The sequence below is a fragment of the Homo sapiens genome, chromosome 7 (genome assembly GCF_000001405.40).
Source record: "Homo sapiens chromosome 7, GRCh38.p14 Primary Assembly".
NCBI classification, from domain to species: domain Eukaryota; kingdom Metazoa; phylum Chordata; class Mammalia; order Primates; family Hominidae; genus Homo; species Homo sapiens.
Genome location: NC_000007.14, coordinates 110,902,756 through 110,917,585, shown reverse-complemented (window position 1 = coordinate 110,917,585; position 14,830 = coordinate 110,902,756). Strand labels below are relative to the sequence as shown.

The following is a 14,830-nucleotide window of genomic DNA, read 5'->3' as shown; positions in this document are numbered from 1 at the left end:
AGGAGCATGGACTGGAGTCAGATCTACTTGGCATTGAATCCTAGTTCTGTTTCTTCATCAACAAATATGAGTTAATAATAATGTCATCTTCACAGAGTCCTTAAAAAGGTTGAATAAGAAGACTGTAAGAAACGTATCACTATTTTGACATGCAGATAGTGTTCAGTGGGTGTGATTATTGTTATCATTTTTAACCTTTGAATGACAGGAAAGGCATGAAAAGAAAAAAATGTAGTATTGGTTTTCTGAGGCTGTCGTAACAAATTACCACAAACTTGTTGGCTTAAAACACCAGTTATTTATTCTCTCACAGTTCTAGAGGCCACAAGTCTGGTATTGAAAGGGCTGTGCTCCCTCCAGAGATTCCCTTCCTTGCCTCCTCCAGCTTCTTGTGACCATCAGCATTCTTGAGCTTGAGGATGTATCACTCATTCTCTGCCTCCATCTTTATGTGACTTCTCTTCCCTACTTGTTTCTCCCACGTGTGTTTTTTGTCACATGGATACTAATCATTGAATGTAGGATGCACCCAGATAATCCAGGATTATCTCATCTTGAAATCCTTAATTAAGTTACACCTATAGAGGCCCTTTTTCCAAAGAACATCACCTTCATAGGTTCTGGGGATTAGAATGTGGATTTATCTTTTGGGGGGACCACTATACCAACTGCAAACATCTTTTTTGTGATTCATTTTGTGATGACTGATCTATTAATGAGAAAATATGTTTTGAGAACCATTAATGTATCACCAACTATAATATTTCAAATATAGAAGCATTGATTGACATTTTGTTTTAGATCAGCCTTACACATAGTAAAAGTTTACCAGTAAACTATGAAATATAAAATTAGCAAGTTGATGATAATAAAACTGCCACAAGCAAAGAAAACATACATTATTTTTGCTCTTACAATTATTTGGCATTCCTGCCAGACTTTGGTTCTATATTTGCATCTGTGTGGGGATGGAGGAAGGAAGTAGTGTAGGAAAGGTAAAAAAATAAGGAATATATTAATGGTTTTGGTCCCATTTTATAACAGAACTTGAATTGGCTTTTCACATCTTCAAGGATTCACTTTTACTCTCTGTTGTAAATTTTCTATCCCAGCGATGTCCCACCACTTTTATATAATAGTAGAATGGCTTATCTATTCTGTAGTAGCACAAAAGAGTTGGAAGACATAGAAACACCAGATGCATTTTCTCTATATCTTTTGGAACAGAAAAAGTAGACAAAATGTTAAATTTTTTCTTTGAAATCCATATGACTCTGCTTCAAAGAATCACCATTTCCAAGAGAGAAAATTCATGATTGCGTTACAAGCATTCAGACAGAAACACTTTATGTTGTCAAAAGCTGCATTTCAACTACCAATATCATCACAGTGACTGCAGTGTCCTGTTACTTTCGCATGACTAAATCATACAACGAAGCAATGATTTTTAATTCTTTTAATTCTTTTTATTTTTTGTAATTGATTAGCCCAAAAACTCTACATAACCATATCAAGGATGTAGATGTGGCCATTCAATGTGACGTGAGCCTTTTAATAAACATGTTTTCAGTTTGCAGAGTTAGAAAAGTATTGGCTGTGTTAAACACTTAACCTTACACTGGCTAAGAAATGCCTTATTAGTCTTTAATTTACTAGTCAGATTATCTGATAGGATGTCTCAGGAGATGGCATGATTTTCACAAATAGTCTACAATGTGTTGTTAACTTTTTCATCCTTATAGCTTTTCTAAAGCCTATCAACAGTTTTCTTTTCTCTCTTTCTCTTTTTTGCAGTATAATGTTTTATTTTTTAATTTTAAAACAATTGGAGTAAAAGTTATGTACATTCAAAGTGTACAGTGTGATGATTTGATATACATACATGTTGTATATTGATTGCCACAGTCAAATTAATTAACACATATGTCACTATCTATAGCTACTGTATGTGGGGAGATGGTCCTCAGTGAGTACACTTAAAATCTATTATCTGGATAAGTTTCAAGTAAGCAATACAAGTATTATTAACTGTAGTTGCCATGCTGTGCATAAGATCTTCAGAACGTATTTATCTTATAACTGCAACTTTGTACCCTTTGACCAACATCTCCCCATTTCCCCCACCCTCCCAGCCCTGGAAACCACCATTCTACTCTCTTCTTCTATGAATTTGACTATTTTAGATTCCACACATAAGTGATATTACACAGTATTTGTCTTTCTGTGTCAGGCTTATTTCATGTAGCATAATGTCCTTCAGGTTCATTCATGTTCTCACAAATAGGATTTCCTCCTTTTTTATGGCTGAATAATATTTGTGTGTGTGTGCGTGCACGCACGCGCGTGCACATGAGTGCATCACATTTTGTTTATCTGATAATCTATAGATGGACACTTAAGTTGTTTCAGTACCTTGGCTATTATGAATAATGCTGCAGCGAACACGGGGGAGCAGATACCTCTTAAGATACTGTTTTCATTTCCTTTGGATATATACCCAGGAATAGGATTGCTGGATTGTTTGATAGTTCTGTTGTTAATTTTTTTCAGAAACCGCCATTCTGTTCTCCATAATACCAGTACTAATTTACATTCCCACCAAGTGTACAAGGGTTCCCTTTTCTCCTCACCATCACCAACACTTGTTATCTTTTGTCTTTGATAAGTCGTCCTAATAGGTATGAGGTGCTATGTTGTGGTTTTCATTTGTATTTTCTTGATGATTAGTGATTTTGATTGTGTTTTCATATAGGAGGTCTTCAAAAAGTTCATGGAATATATGTATTATAAAAAAAATGCACATATTTCAAAAACTATTGTACCAAATTAAACTCATACTAAACTTGCTGTAATGTGTCTGAAAGAACTTAGTTTGAGGCATTGAGAAGAATAAGACATCACTTTGAAAAGAGCAACATGAATTTTGCTAAAATTGAAGCAGGAACAAACATCACATTTATGGTAAAGCTTGGGTAGAAGAATGATGAAATCATTGGTGCTTTTTGAAAAGTTTATGGGGACGATGTCCCAAAGAAATCAGCAATTTACAAATGGGTAACTCATTTTAAGACAGGACAAGACAATGTTGAAAGTGAAACCCACAGCAGCAGACCATCCACATCACTTTTTGAAGAAAAATTAATTTTGTTCATGCCCTAATTGAAGAGGACTGATGATTAATAGTAGAAATGGTAGTCAGCTTCATAGATGTCACATGCAATTGGTTGAGCTCACTCAATTCTGACTGAAAATTAAAGTTGAGCAAACTTTCCATTTGATGGATGCCAAAACCGTTGCTCCCAGATCAACTGCAGACAACAGCAGAGCTTTCAATGGAAATTTTAAACGAGTGAGATCAGGATCCTGAAGCATTTCTTCAAAGAATTATAACAGAAGATGAAACATCACTTTACCAGTGTGACTGAAGACAAAGCACAGTCAAAGCAATGGCTACCAAGATGCGGACGTGGTCCAGGAAGAGCAAAAGCAGGCTGGTCAAGAGCAAAGATCATGGCAACAGTTTTTTTGAGTGCTCAAGACATTTTGCTGGTTGACTTTCTGGAGGGCCAAAACAATGATAATATCTGTTTATTATGAAATTGTGTTGAGAAAGTTTGCCAAATTATTAGCAAAAAAACACCTGAGAAAACTTTACCTGAGATCCCTCCTCCAACCCAACAGTGCTTCTGCTCTTTCCTCAAACAAGGGCAATTGTGAGTTTCAATGGGAAGTCATTAAGCATCTAATTTACAGTCCTCATTTTGCACCCTCTGACTTCTTTTTGTTTCCTAACGTTAAACAATTTTAAAGGACACCCATTTTTCTTCAGTTAACAGTGTAAAAGAAGCTGCATGGACATGGTTAAATTCCCAGGACCCTCAGATCTTCAGAGACCAAGTAATGGCTGGTATCATTACTTAGCAAGTTGCCTTAACCTTGATGGAGCTTATGTTGAGAAATAAGTTTGCACATTTTTAAATTTTTATCTTTTAATTCATATTTTCCATGAACTTTTTGAAGTTTCCTCATATACCTGTTGCTCGTCTGTGTATCTTCTTTGGAAAAATGTCTATGCAGGTCCTTTGTTCATTTATTAATCAGATTTTTTCTTTTTTTCTTTTTTCTTTTTTTGCTATTGAGTTGTATGAGTTCCTTCTATGTTTTAGATGGTAACCCCTTTCTGCTCTTATATAGCAGAATGTCTTCATGGATGTCAATTATTTTGTGAATTCTTGAGAAAGTTCACATTTAGCTCCTTGGCATTTGCTAACCAACAAAGTATTAGTTTGCTTTTGGTCCCTTGATGCGCATCAAATCTCATTGTCATATTTTTAGCTGGGCATGTACATAGCCTCTTACCTATTGTCCAGTACCCAGTGGTTATTAGTCTACTGGTACCTTCCTGGGTAGAAGGGGGAAAACTGCTCCTATTTTCCTCTTAACTAATTATAAGAAAGACTAAACATATCCTAGTAATCCTAAGTCAGACTTTATATTTTATTTGACAACAAAGCATGGAAACTACAACCTCCAAAGTTTATTGTTCCCAGGGTTCTTCTTGACTACTCTTCACTCATCTGTCTTTATCATGAGATGATCTCCACCTTCCACAATGTCGTTTGCCACTATCCATTCCCTCTCTAGCCATGTGTGTCCTTTCTGCCATTCTGCATACTGGAAGTTGTAGTTGCTGAGGAGATGCAAAATCACAAGTTCTCATAGTGTGGGTTGTGAGGGTATCTCAGGCATCAGTTCCTGAGCAGTAAGAGAGGTTGCTACTTTACTTTCAGGCTAGATGTAGACCTTGATTATCAACTTAGGAGCAAGTAGCAACTACTTTTCACGAAGCCACTGGCATTTAGTCAAACTTTGTGTTTGCTTTCTTGTTTTTACATGGGCATTGTAAATAAAAACCCAAATACTGAATTTTATAAAGATCAGGGCTTTTCTTTGTAAAATTGCCCCATTATCCTACCCCCATGAAGTAAAAAAAAAAAACTTTAAATGTGTCTCCTTCTATAATTTTTAATGCTCACAGAAACATACATGTACCTGTATGCTTGTTTGTGTGTGTGTTTGTGTTTTTTAATCTAGAGCTTGGATTTTCTTTAATGTGTTATTTCCAGTCTGAGATCCATCACAAACATTATCACCACAATTTAACTAATTATTTATTATCTCTGCCCAGCATCCCACAGCTTGAATGTATTATAATTTTTAAGTTACTTACCTGAACACTTACATTGTGTTTACATTTTTGGCTGTATGCTCTAAGGATCATTCTCATACACATGCTCTTATGTGTTTTGCAATTATTTTTGCTGAATAGAATTCTAAATTTACTGGCTGTAAGATTCTGATAGGTACAGCCAAATTGCCTACTAAAAAAAGGGCAATGGGGAGATAGATAACTCGCCTTCTTTCATTTACAATGTGTTTGAGAGGTTTTTGTTTTTGTTTTTTTTGTCTTAGGTTTGTTTGTTTATTTGTTTCTCCTTTGACATTATAACTGGATACTGGAAAGAAGCCTCTCACTTAAGGCAAGACAGACACCTTTGAAATGTAGTTGCCTGATCAATATTTTTTTAAACATTGCATGTACTATAGGAAGTTTCTTCCTCTAGGAACTCCTTCTACCTTTTAAAAGGAGAAAATTCTGAATGCATTTACTGCAATTTCCGTAGAGGAAATTATTTTGATACATATTTACTGTCCCGTCAAATGCTTGAAATACATACATGAATTTTCCAGGAAATCTTGAATAGGAATTGAAAGATTAGACAGGTTAAAGTAGATAGCAGTAATAGTTGTCTCTTTCTTCCTTGATAAATATGGGTAAAGCTAGAGAAAATATGTTGTTTGTGTTGCCAGAAGCAGAGAATAGGTATATTGCTGTCAAAATGGGAAAGGAAAAACATTTGCAATTCTGTTCAATGCCATGAGTTTGATACCTGACCCCCAGATAATTTTTCAAAACTCCTGTTTCAGCCTCTTTTTAGCCAACTTGGATTATTAGGAGTTCTTAGCATTTACATGTGTGGGTATGAATCTTTTTATTTGTACTGTTTCAATGTACTATTTAAACAAAGACAAGCCATTTATTATTTATTCTTCTGTTTTCATGTTCATGAAGATAGAATAATTTCCACATAATTGAAATTAGAGCATGACTGCTAAAATAAAGTTTGCTGAGTATTTAGAAACCCTTGGAGGGAAAGGCAATTTTAGCATAAATTAATGCCTTTTGATTTACATTTTGTAATATATTTTTAATTTCACTTTTAAAGCTGAATTTGAATGCATGCATTTTTGTAACTTTTGTCTTTCAGATGTAAACTTCTTACTATACAAGATAGCTTAGGTAAATGGCTATGAGAGTGCACACCATTTTCAGTCGTGTAATTTCCTTTTTTTAACTGTGTACGTATTCTAATTTTAATGTCTGGTTGTTCATCTTTATCATTTGTTTAAAAAGTAGAAAAGCATTCAAAAATACACATTTATATACATACATATATGTGATTATATATATTTGTAAATATGCTTCACATATATTGAAGAGTAAATTATAATGTTCTTTTCTAAATATCTTGGTTTTTCCCACATCCTGCAGCCTTCCCATTTGCTACATTCTCTGTTCAATCACAATAACATTAACATACAGGGAGAATATTTATATACAGGCTTCTCCTAGATCAACAATATCTTCCCCGATGGCTGGGCATAATATTATGTGTCGCAAATACCAGGGTTTTAGAATTATGAGTTGTCAACTAAAAATAATGAGTAAGAAGAGAGAATTATCAGGTCTCACATATGAACTTCATCTGTCCATGGTACCTTTCCACTTGACGAAATCACTTACAACTTCAAACTCAATATTTCATAGATAAGTGTCATCACCTTCCCCCCAAATACAACCCAATTTTTCATCCTGCAGACTTCAAACTGTGGAGTCAGCTTTGATGCCCTTCTTTTGACTCAGTGACTAACATGTAATAATATGATAACAAAGTCAAAGTCTCTCTGATTCTTCCTTTCTTTTCACACTGTTGCCATCCTACATCAAAATTCAACGCTTCTATTAATGAAAATTTCCCTTCCTGGTTTTGTCTACAATCCTAGCATCTGGCACTGCATTTGACCACATGGTAGGAATTGAATCAATATTCATTGAATGAGTACATAAACACTACAAGATTCATTTTATTAATTTGATTAAAATGCAGCTCTCATCAGGTTACTTTGCTGAATGCAGATTTCTAGTTCATCTCAGCTATCAAGAGAGGAAAAATGAAACTTCTCACCTTAGTTTTTAGGGCTCTTTAAGATCTTGCTCTCTTAATTTTACTTTTATCACTGCTCTAACTGTGAATGCTCTCTGTTGCATTTATGCTGCTTTAAAATTTCCCTTAGTATTTCACGCTTCATCCCAAGCCTAGCATGCATCGTTCCTGTATACTGTGTTTTCATGCCTGGTTTGCTTACTCTGAAATGGCCTATCATGTCTAGCCTCCCTCCCTAAGCCTAACCTTAGGCTTAACTGAAGTTTCTGTACTTAAAAGTTCCATTAGTCAACTTTAGTCCATAGTAGTATTCTATCTCCTTCCTTGGCACATTTACTGTTTTAATGGTCTCTCTCTCTCTCTCTCTCTCTCTGTCTATCTCTCTCTCTCTTTCTCTCTCTCTCTCTCTCCTCTGTTTAACACTGATGCTTTTCTAACTCACAGAAGTAAGAATCCCTTCCCTTCTCTTGGAGAGTACAGATATACTTTAATGAATGGTGGGAAAGGTAGGTAGAGTTTATGAGCCCACTGTAGGTAGAGGATAGAGATGGATGAAACGGCTAGATGAATGGAGGGAGACGGTTGTTGTTGGATAGGGAGGTGCTCAACTCAAGAGGGCCTGAAAGTGGAGAGAGTTTTTGTTAACCCCAGAGAGTAGCCTCTGAGAGAGGGAAGTAAGTTCACAAAAAAAGACTGCAGACATGAATGTTTCCTTCTTCAAAATTTGACCTTAATATAGCCTAGCCTGATGTTTCCTGGGCAGGAGAAATAGAATAATCTCACAGCACCGTTCTCGTGCTTTCACTGCATTAGAAGTTTTCTCAAGTACCTTTAGGTGAAAGTCATGTAACTTCATTACACCCTGCCATGCTACATTGTCTGGCTTATAAGGTATTTATTTTAGGGCCATCAGTCACTGAATTTCTGTGTAAAATGAACTCATGTCTCTTGTCGCAGAATAAGCAATTGTTTGAACTATCTTGACTAAACTATTTATTTAGGCACCTAACCAATTGATTAAATAATACCACTGGACTAAGATCCTTTGTTCTTCCAGCAAAGTACAGCACAGTTTGGTCCCAGCTCACCACTCCTGCCTCATTTCATACTGTGTTCCTACTGCCTTTGCCTTTCTGCCACTCTGGCCTTTCAGTTTCTCAGATGCACTAGGTTTCTTCTGAACACGGGATCTTGGCATACGCTCTCAATCTGCCTGAAACTTTGCTTTCCTTGCCTGTGTAGCTCTCTCCACTATCTCAGACTAGGTCATATTCCCCTATTGTAAGTATTTTTGGCTTCCTGTACCTTTCTCTCATGGTCTTTACCACGGGTATGATATTACATTTTTAAATGATTACTTGATTAATGTCTATCTTTCCTACTAAATTTAAAGTTCCTTGAGAGTGTATTGGTTTTTGCACATTTTTGCATCCCAGTGCATGGCACCTACAAGGCACTCAATAAATAACTATTAAATTCAGTGAACTGGGAATTTAAATTTCATTTGTGAATCCAGTTATTTACTTCATAGATACAGATTTATTCTGTTACATTGTTATCCCTGTTATCTAAACCTTCTAAAACACAAAAGAAACCAAACACATCTGAAAGGGCTTCTAAGCATAAATAGTTGAAAGCATAAATATAGTTATCTGTTTAGTCAAAAATTGATGTTTGTCTTTTGTCTTTTGTACAGTAGAGACAGTTCTTTAAAGATATGGTAACTTTCTCACGCTGCATGGTTTGGGAACTTTAAATACACTTTTAGTATCATTATATACCCACTTCCAAGCAAGAGTATACACAGAAAAGTCTGAAACATCCCCAAAGCCTTTTTCATTTCAATACAGGGAGCCTAATGATTTTACTAGGCAACTTTGTTATACAGAGTTTTCTCAGTAGAGTGAATGCTAAATCAGTTATCCGGCAAGTTCATGTTAAAGGAAAGATGTTCAAAGAGTTATTCCACAGGCTTCTCATACCTAGATCTTCAAAGTGTACCTGCGTGGTTTAGTGATATTAAACTATAAATAATTTGAAGGAGAGAGAGAAGTTTGATGGCTTAATAAAAAAGGGGTCAGTTTTTTTCTGGACACTGAGGTTGCTGGATGCAGAGATACTGTTTATAAAGATAAGGCTTTTCCTCCCTTTGTAGCTGATTTTGTGAATTTCTTAGAAATACCTGCTCTGAATTTCTTACTTCTTTTCTGAGTTTACCCATAAACCAAAAACTACATAATATTTGAGTGCAACTGCAGAGAAAAATGTATCCATGATGAATGTCTTTAACTCCTCCCTCTTGCTCATGAGACATATCCAGCCAAGCAGCAAGTACTGACCGTTGTGTCGCATGAGTAAGGCTTGGCTCCTACTTTACTTCTACCTGTTCACCCTGGGAATATCCTAGCTCAGCACCAATAACTTCTGAAGCATTTCCCCCCCACCAATTGCCCCACTCACTGTTGGCATGGTTGCTTCTGAAATGCAAATCTGAGTACTCCTTCATTTAAAACATTTAAATTGCTTATGATAACAGCAAAAAATGAATATAAAATTTTTACTATATAGCAAGTACTGGTCCAAGTATTTTTTATATATGAACTCATGATTATGCCTTGGAACAGTAAATCTAGAAACTATTGATAGGGACAGGAGGCAGGTAAATTCTGGGCAGAAGAGGGTGGGTCCCTAGTGAGGGCCCCAAAGCCTGATACCACAGCCCAAAGTGAGAACTTACATCCTGTTTTCCCACTTGAATGTTGCCTTTTCCAAAACCACCCATGGCCCGCCCCATCCCCCATCATGTGCCCATAAAAACCCTGGACTCAGCCAGTAGAGAGGAGGAGAAGCAGTTGGATGTTGGAGACTACAGTTTGACCATTGAAGAGAAGCAACTTGACTTCAGAGGGACAGCTTGATGGCATAGCTTCAGAGAGGAGTCTGGTCGGGGACAGCTGGACTTCAGGAAAAGATTACCTTCCTGTTGTATCCTCCTTTCAGCTCCCCTTTACACTGAGAGCTCCTAAATTTACCAAATTCAGTTTATTCGTCTGACCTCATTCTTCCTGGATGTTGGGCAAAAACTTGGGTGCCGTAAGTGTGGGCGCAAAAGGCTGTCACACTGACCCTCCACTGAGCTGTTAACACTTAAGCCATCCACAAATGGCAAAACTAAAGTGTTACTATACGTAACACTCCTTCTGGGGCTTCAGGGGTCGTGGGCACCCCCAACCCCCATCCCCCCCACTGCCCTTGCCTAATGCTGCTGCAGGGCCCTCATGGAGTTTTGCTCCTGCTGGCACCCAAAAGTACTCACCCCAGCTCCTGTACCTGCTCACCTGTGCTCCCTGTCCTGCAAGTGGTTGAGAGCTGTGGGCTGAGTAAGCAAGGCACCCCTGTTGCAAGGCTCGCAAAGGGGTCAGGGCGATATCTGGCTTCACTATCAGTCATCATATTAGTATAATCATAAAGCTGACATTAATTGAGTGTTTATTTTGACCAAGCACTGTCCTAAGCACTTTACAATATTAACTCATGTATCCCTAAAAATAACCAGATAAGTCTGGTTATTTTGGTATGGTTTTTTTTTCACTATTATAAATTAATTAAATCATTAAGTAGTGGTTAAATAACTTGCCCACCATCATATGGCTAAGCAGAGAGGTGGCATTCAAACCTAGGCAATTTACCTCCATCCAGAGTCTGTGTTCCGAAGCGCTGTTCATACTGATTTTCCAAGTAAGCTCCCTAATTTTGTAGCCTGGCACACAGTGCACATTTGGTTCTCTTTTCCAACCTCGTATTCACTAGGGTTACATTTGCCTATCTTGCATTTTATTCTGTCACACGGAACTAAACAAATGCTGTCTTAAATGGATTCTTCACCTAGACCAGCTTGACTAATTCAAGCACTCTGTTTATTCCTCTGTACAACATTTGTCTGAGGTCTGTGACCTAGAATGTTCACAACTAAAAGGTTACTCTGTAGTCATACTATGTACTTTTGTTTCCACCAGCTAAAATGTTTGCATTAAAAAATCAGTGGTGATTATTCCCAAACATGCTAGTTGTACCTATTATTGTAGCAATCTAGTGTAATTAAATATATGAAACATGAGTAAGAAAAAAACAGCCAAATGTTTTGAAAGACTAACTTTTAATGAGTTTTCTTTTTTTAAATGGCTGTCAAATGTGGTGAGATAACTGTGAAAGGCTGGGGAAAAATTTGTAAAAATCTAGAATCGTTCTGTACTCAGATTTGGTCACAAATATCTTTTTCATTCCAACGTAAAGAAACTGAAACTGGCAGTGGTAAATAGTGCAGTATGGGTGTGGTGTATGACAGAAAGATTTTTCAGAACTTCAACTTATGGATTCATACACAAAGAGAATGACTTCTTATTTCAAAAGATTGGTAAATAAATTGTGTATTTCATGTTTTATAATTCAGTGTTATGATTAAGAAGTGAGAGTATGATAAATTCCATGCCTTTGCCAACTTTAAAAAAATCAAGCTGACAACTATCAGTTTGTATTGTTTTGAATGAGAGGATTTCTAATTGTTGAGGTATGGTACCATATGTGACATCACACTTACAGTCCAGCCAAAGTACAGAATTCAGGGTTCTTCTAATATTAACCTACGATGTACTTTATGATCTCTCATCTTTTGCCATTGAACATGCTTTCCTTCTGCCCAAAATGCCTTTTCCTAAACTTCTTTACCTGATAAGTTCTATTTATCCTTTAGTTTTGGATATTACCTGCTCTAAAATTTTTGCAGACCTCCCAAGACCAGCTAGATCCTCTTATATATATTTGAAACAACTACTCAGGAAAAAAAAAATGTAACAAAAAATTGAAGGGAAAGAATGAGTGTATTCATCCTTTTTATTTTTTTCTTTAATGGGGATAAGACAGTTTTCAAAAATCTAATTTTAAGGATGGTAAAAAGTTAAACTTTCCTAATCCTAGCATGTTATTCTTAATAAATCTCTAAGGCAATCACAGACTTGACAATGATTTAAACATTAATGATAATATTGTAGTGCTGAGGATGGAAGTCATATGACAAGGGAATCTTGCAAAATTTTGACTTGGAAATGATTTGACCCAAAAACTTGTTATTTTTTACATATTATGGTCAGGTTGATCATTTGTAGGAGAGAAGTCCCATCAGTAATAGATACACTACTGCAAGGCAGGTCCCTAAATGTGAACACATAACTAAGTGAAACAGCAGGTGGTAAGTAGAGTTTAGGTGATTGTAGAGGTTTCCATAGTAAGCATATTTTATCTGATCAAAGTGGTATTTTGTAACCATGAAAAGAATATAATTGTAAGCATTTATTATCTAAGTGGGATGATTTTTGATAAGGGTGAAACAGGATTGCTTTTGTTCAAATGAGATAGATATCCAATCAGAAGATATAGAGATTATATTAATTATGTGGTTCCGGTGCTTAAGAAGTAAAACAGGCCTCTCTTGGACTCACCTTCACTGACAAATCGCAATTTAGCCTAAGATGCACTAGAGCTGTAAAGCTGAAGTACTTACATGCTTTGCTTTCCTAGTGATCCTTCTATGGCAAGCCCATAAAACAAGGGGATGAGTTGAATGTAATTAGGTCTCAGTAAGAAGCAAGCTATAGTAATCTGTTTTGTTTAAGGTAGTGGAATAAAAACAAGCGTATAGCTAGGAATAGAACAAATCAGAACACAAACCCTGGGAATAAATCCATGCATATAACTGATCTTTGAAAAGGATGCCAAGAATACACAATGGGGAAAGGTATTCTCTTCAACAAATGGTGTTGGGAAAACTGGATATCCACATGCAAAATAATGAATGGGCCCTTATCTTGTACCATACACAAAAGTCAACTCAGAGTGGATTAAAGAATTCAATGTAAAACCCAAAACAGTAAAGTTCCTAGAAGAAAACATAGGGGAAAAACTTCATGACATTGGTCTTGGCAGTGATTTCATGGATATGACACTAAAAGTAAAGTCAATGAAAACAAAAATAAACGAGTGGCACTATGTCAACTAAAAATCTTCTACAGAGCAAAGGAAACAATCAACAGAATGAAAAGACAACCTGTGGAATGGGGGAAAATATTTACAAACTATATATCTGGGCTTAATCTATATGCAAACCACAAATGCGGGGTTAGTCTCTAAAATATGTAAGGAACTCCTACAACTCTATAGTAAAACAAACCAAAAAATTTGATCAGAAAATGGGCTAAGGACTTGAGTAGATGTTTCTCCAAAGTAGACATACACATGGCAAACCGCTTACATGAAAAAAAAAATGCTTAATGTCACAAATCAGAGAAATGCAAATCAAAACCACAACGAGATACCACCTCACACTTGTGAGGATGACTATTATAAAAACAAAGGCAATGAATATTGGTGAAGGCGTGGAGAAATTGGAACCCTTGAACACTGTCGGTGGGAATCGAAAATAGTACAGCCACTATAGAAAACAGTATGGAGGTTCCTACAAAAAAAAAAAGTGAAAACAGAGCTACTATATGATCCAGCATCAGCATCTTAAAGAAATATATGCACTCCTATGCTCATTTTAGCACTTTTCACATCAGACAGCATATAGAAACAACCCAGATGTCAATCAGCAGGTGAATGGATAAAGAAAATGTTGTGTAGACATACAATGGAATACTATTCTTAAAAAGAAGGAAATCCTGCAATATGCAACAACGTGGATGAACTTGAGGACATTATGCTAAGTGAAATAAGCTAGTCACACAAAGACGAACCAATATTACATGATTTCACTTACATGAGGTATCTAAAATAGTCAAATCAATGGAATCAAAGGGTAGAATGGTGGTTGCCAGGAGTTTACAGAGGGGAAAATGAAGAGTTACTAATCTGCAGGCATAAAGTTTCAGATAAGCAAGATGAATAAGATCTAGAAATTCAGAAATCTGACATATAACATTGTACCTATACTCAACAATAATGTATCCTACACTTAAAAATCTGTTGAGAGAGTATATCTCATGGTAAGTGCTTTTACCACAATAAAATTTACCCAAAAGAAATACACAGCCACATACCACGTATACTCAAATATTGCCCCGTAATCAGTGTTAGCCTGGTGTGTGTGGCAAGCAAGGGTGCCACTCTGGGGGAACCTAATTGTATTGAATTTATTGAAGAATGGCTTTCATCAGTCGCTGGCTGTTCAGCTGAGTCCATTTGGCCCTCAGGCTGCTAGTTTCAGAAGGATAATTAAGTATAATCTTGTCACTTTTTTTATTAACACCCTTCAGATGTTCCCCATTGCCTACAAAATAGAGTCTGTACTCTTTTTTTTTTTTTTTTTTTTTTTTTGAGACGGAGTCTCGCTCTGTCGCCCAGGCTGGAGTGCAGTGGCGCAATCTCGGCTCACTGCATGCTCCGCCTCCCGGGTTCACGCCATTCTCCTGCCTCAGCCTCCCAAGTAGCTGGGACTACAGGCGCCCGCCACTACGCCCGGCTAATTTTTTTTTTTTTTGTATTTTTAGTAG

The 14,830-nt window shown here is 36.5% G+C and overlaps 1 protein-coding gene across 20 annotated transcripts in view, besides 1 other annotated feature; it reads left to right on the top strand.

Annotated features, from left to right (window-relative positions):
• The window catches only part of IMMP2L (inner mitochondrial membrane peptidase subunit 2), an 899,849-nt gene that overhangs the window by 644,907 nt on the left and 240,112 nt on the right, over window positions 1-14,830 (top strand). The gene's annotated exons all lie outside the window — the stretch shown is intronic.
• Window positions 7,959-8,253: a silencer, noted in NCBI's record as "tiled region #15683; HepG2 Repressive non-DNase unmatched - State 24:Quies". NCBI's record gives its function as "represses a minimal TATA promoter and a strong SV40 promoter by Sharpr-MPRA in HepG2 cells {active_cell/tissue: HepG2}" and the evidence as "EXISTENCE:reporter gene assay evidence [ECO:0000049][PMID:27701403]".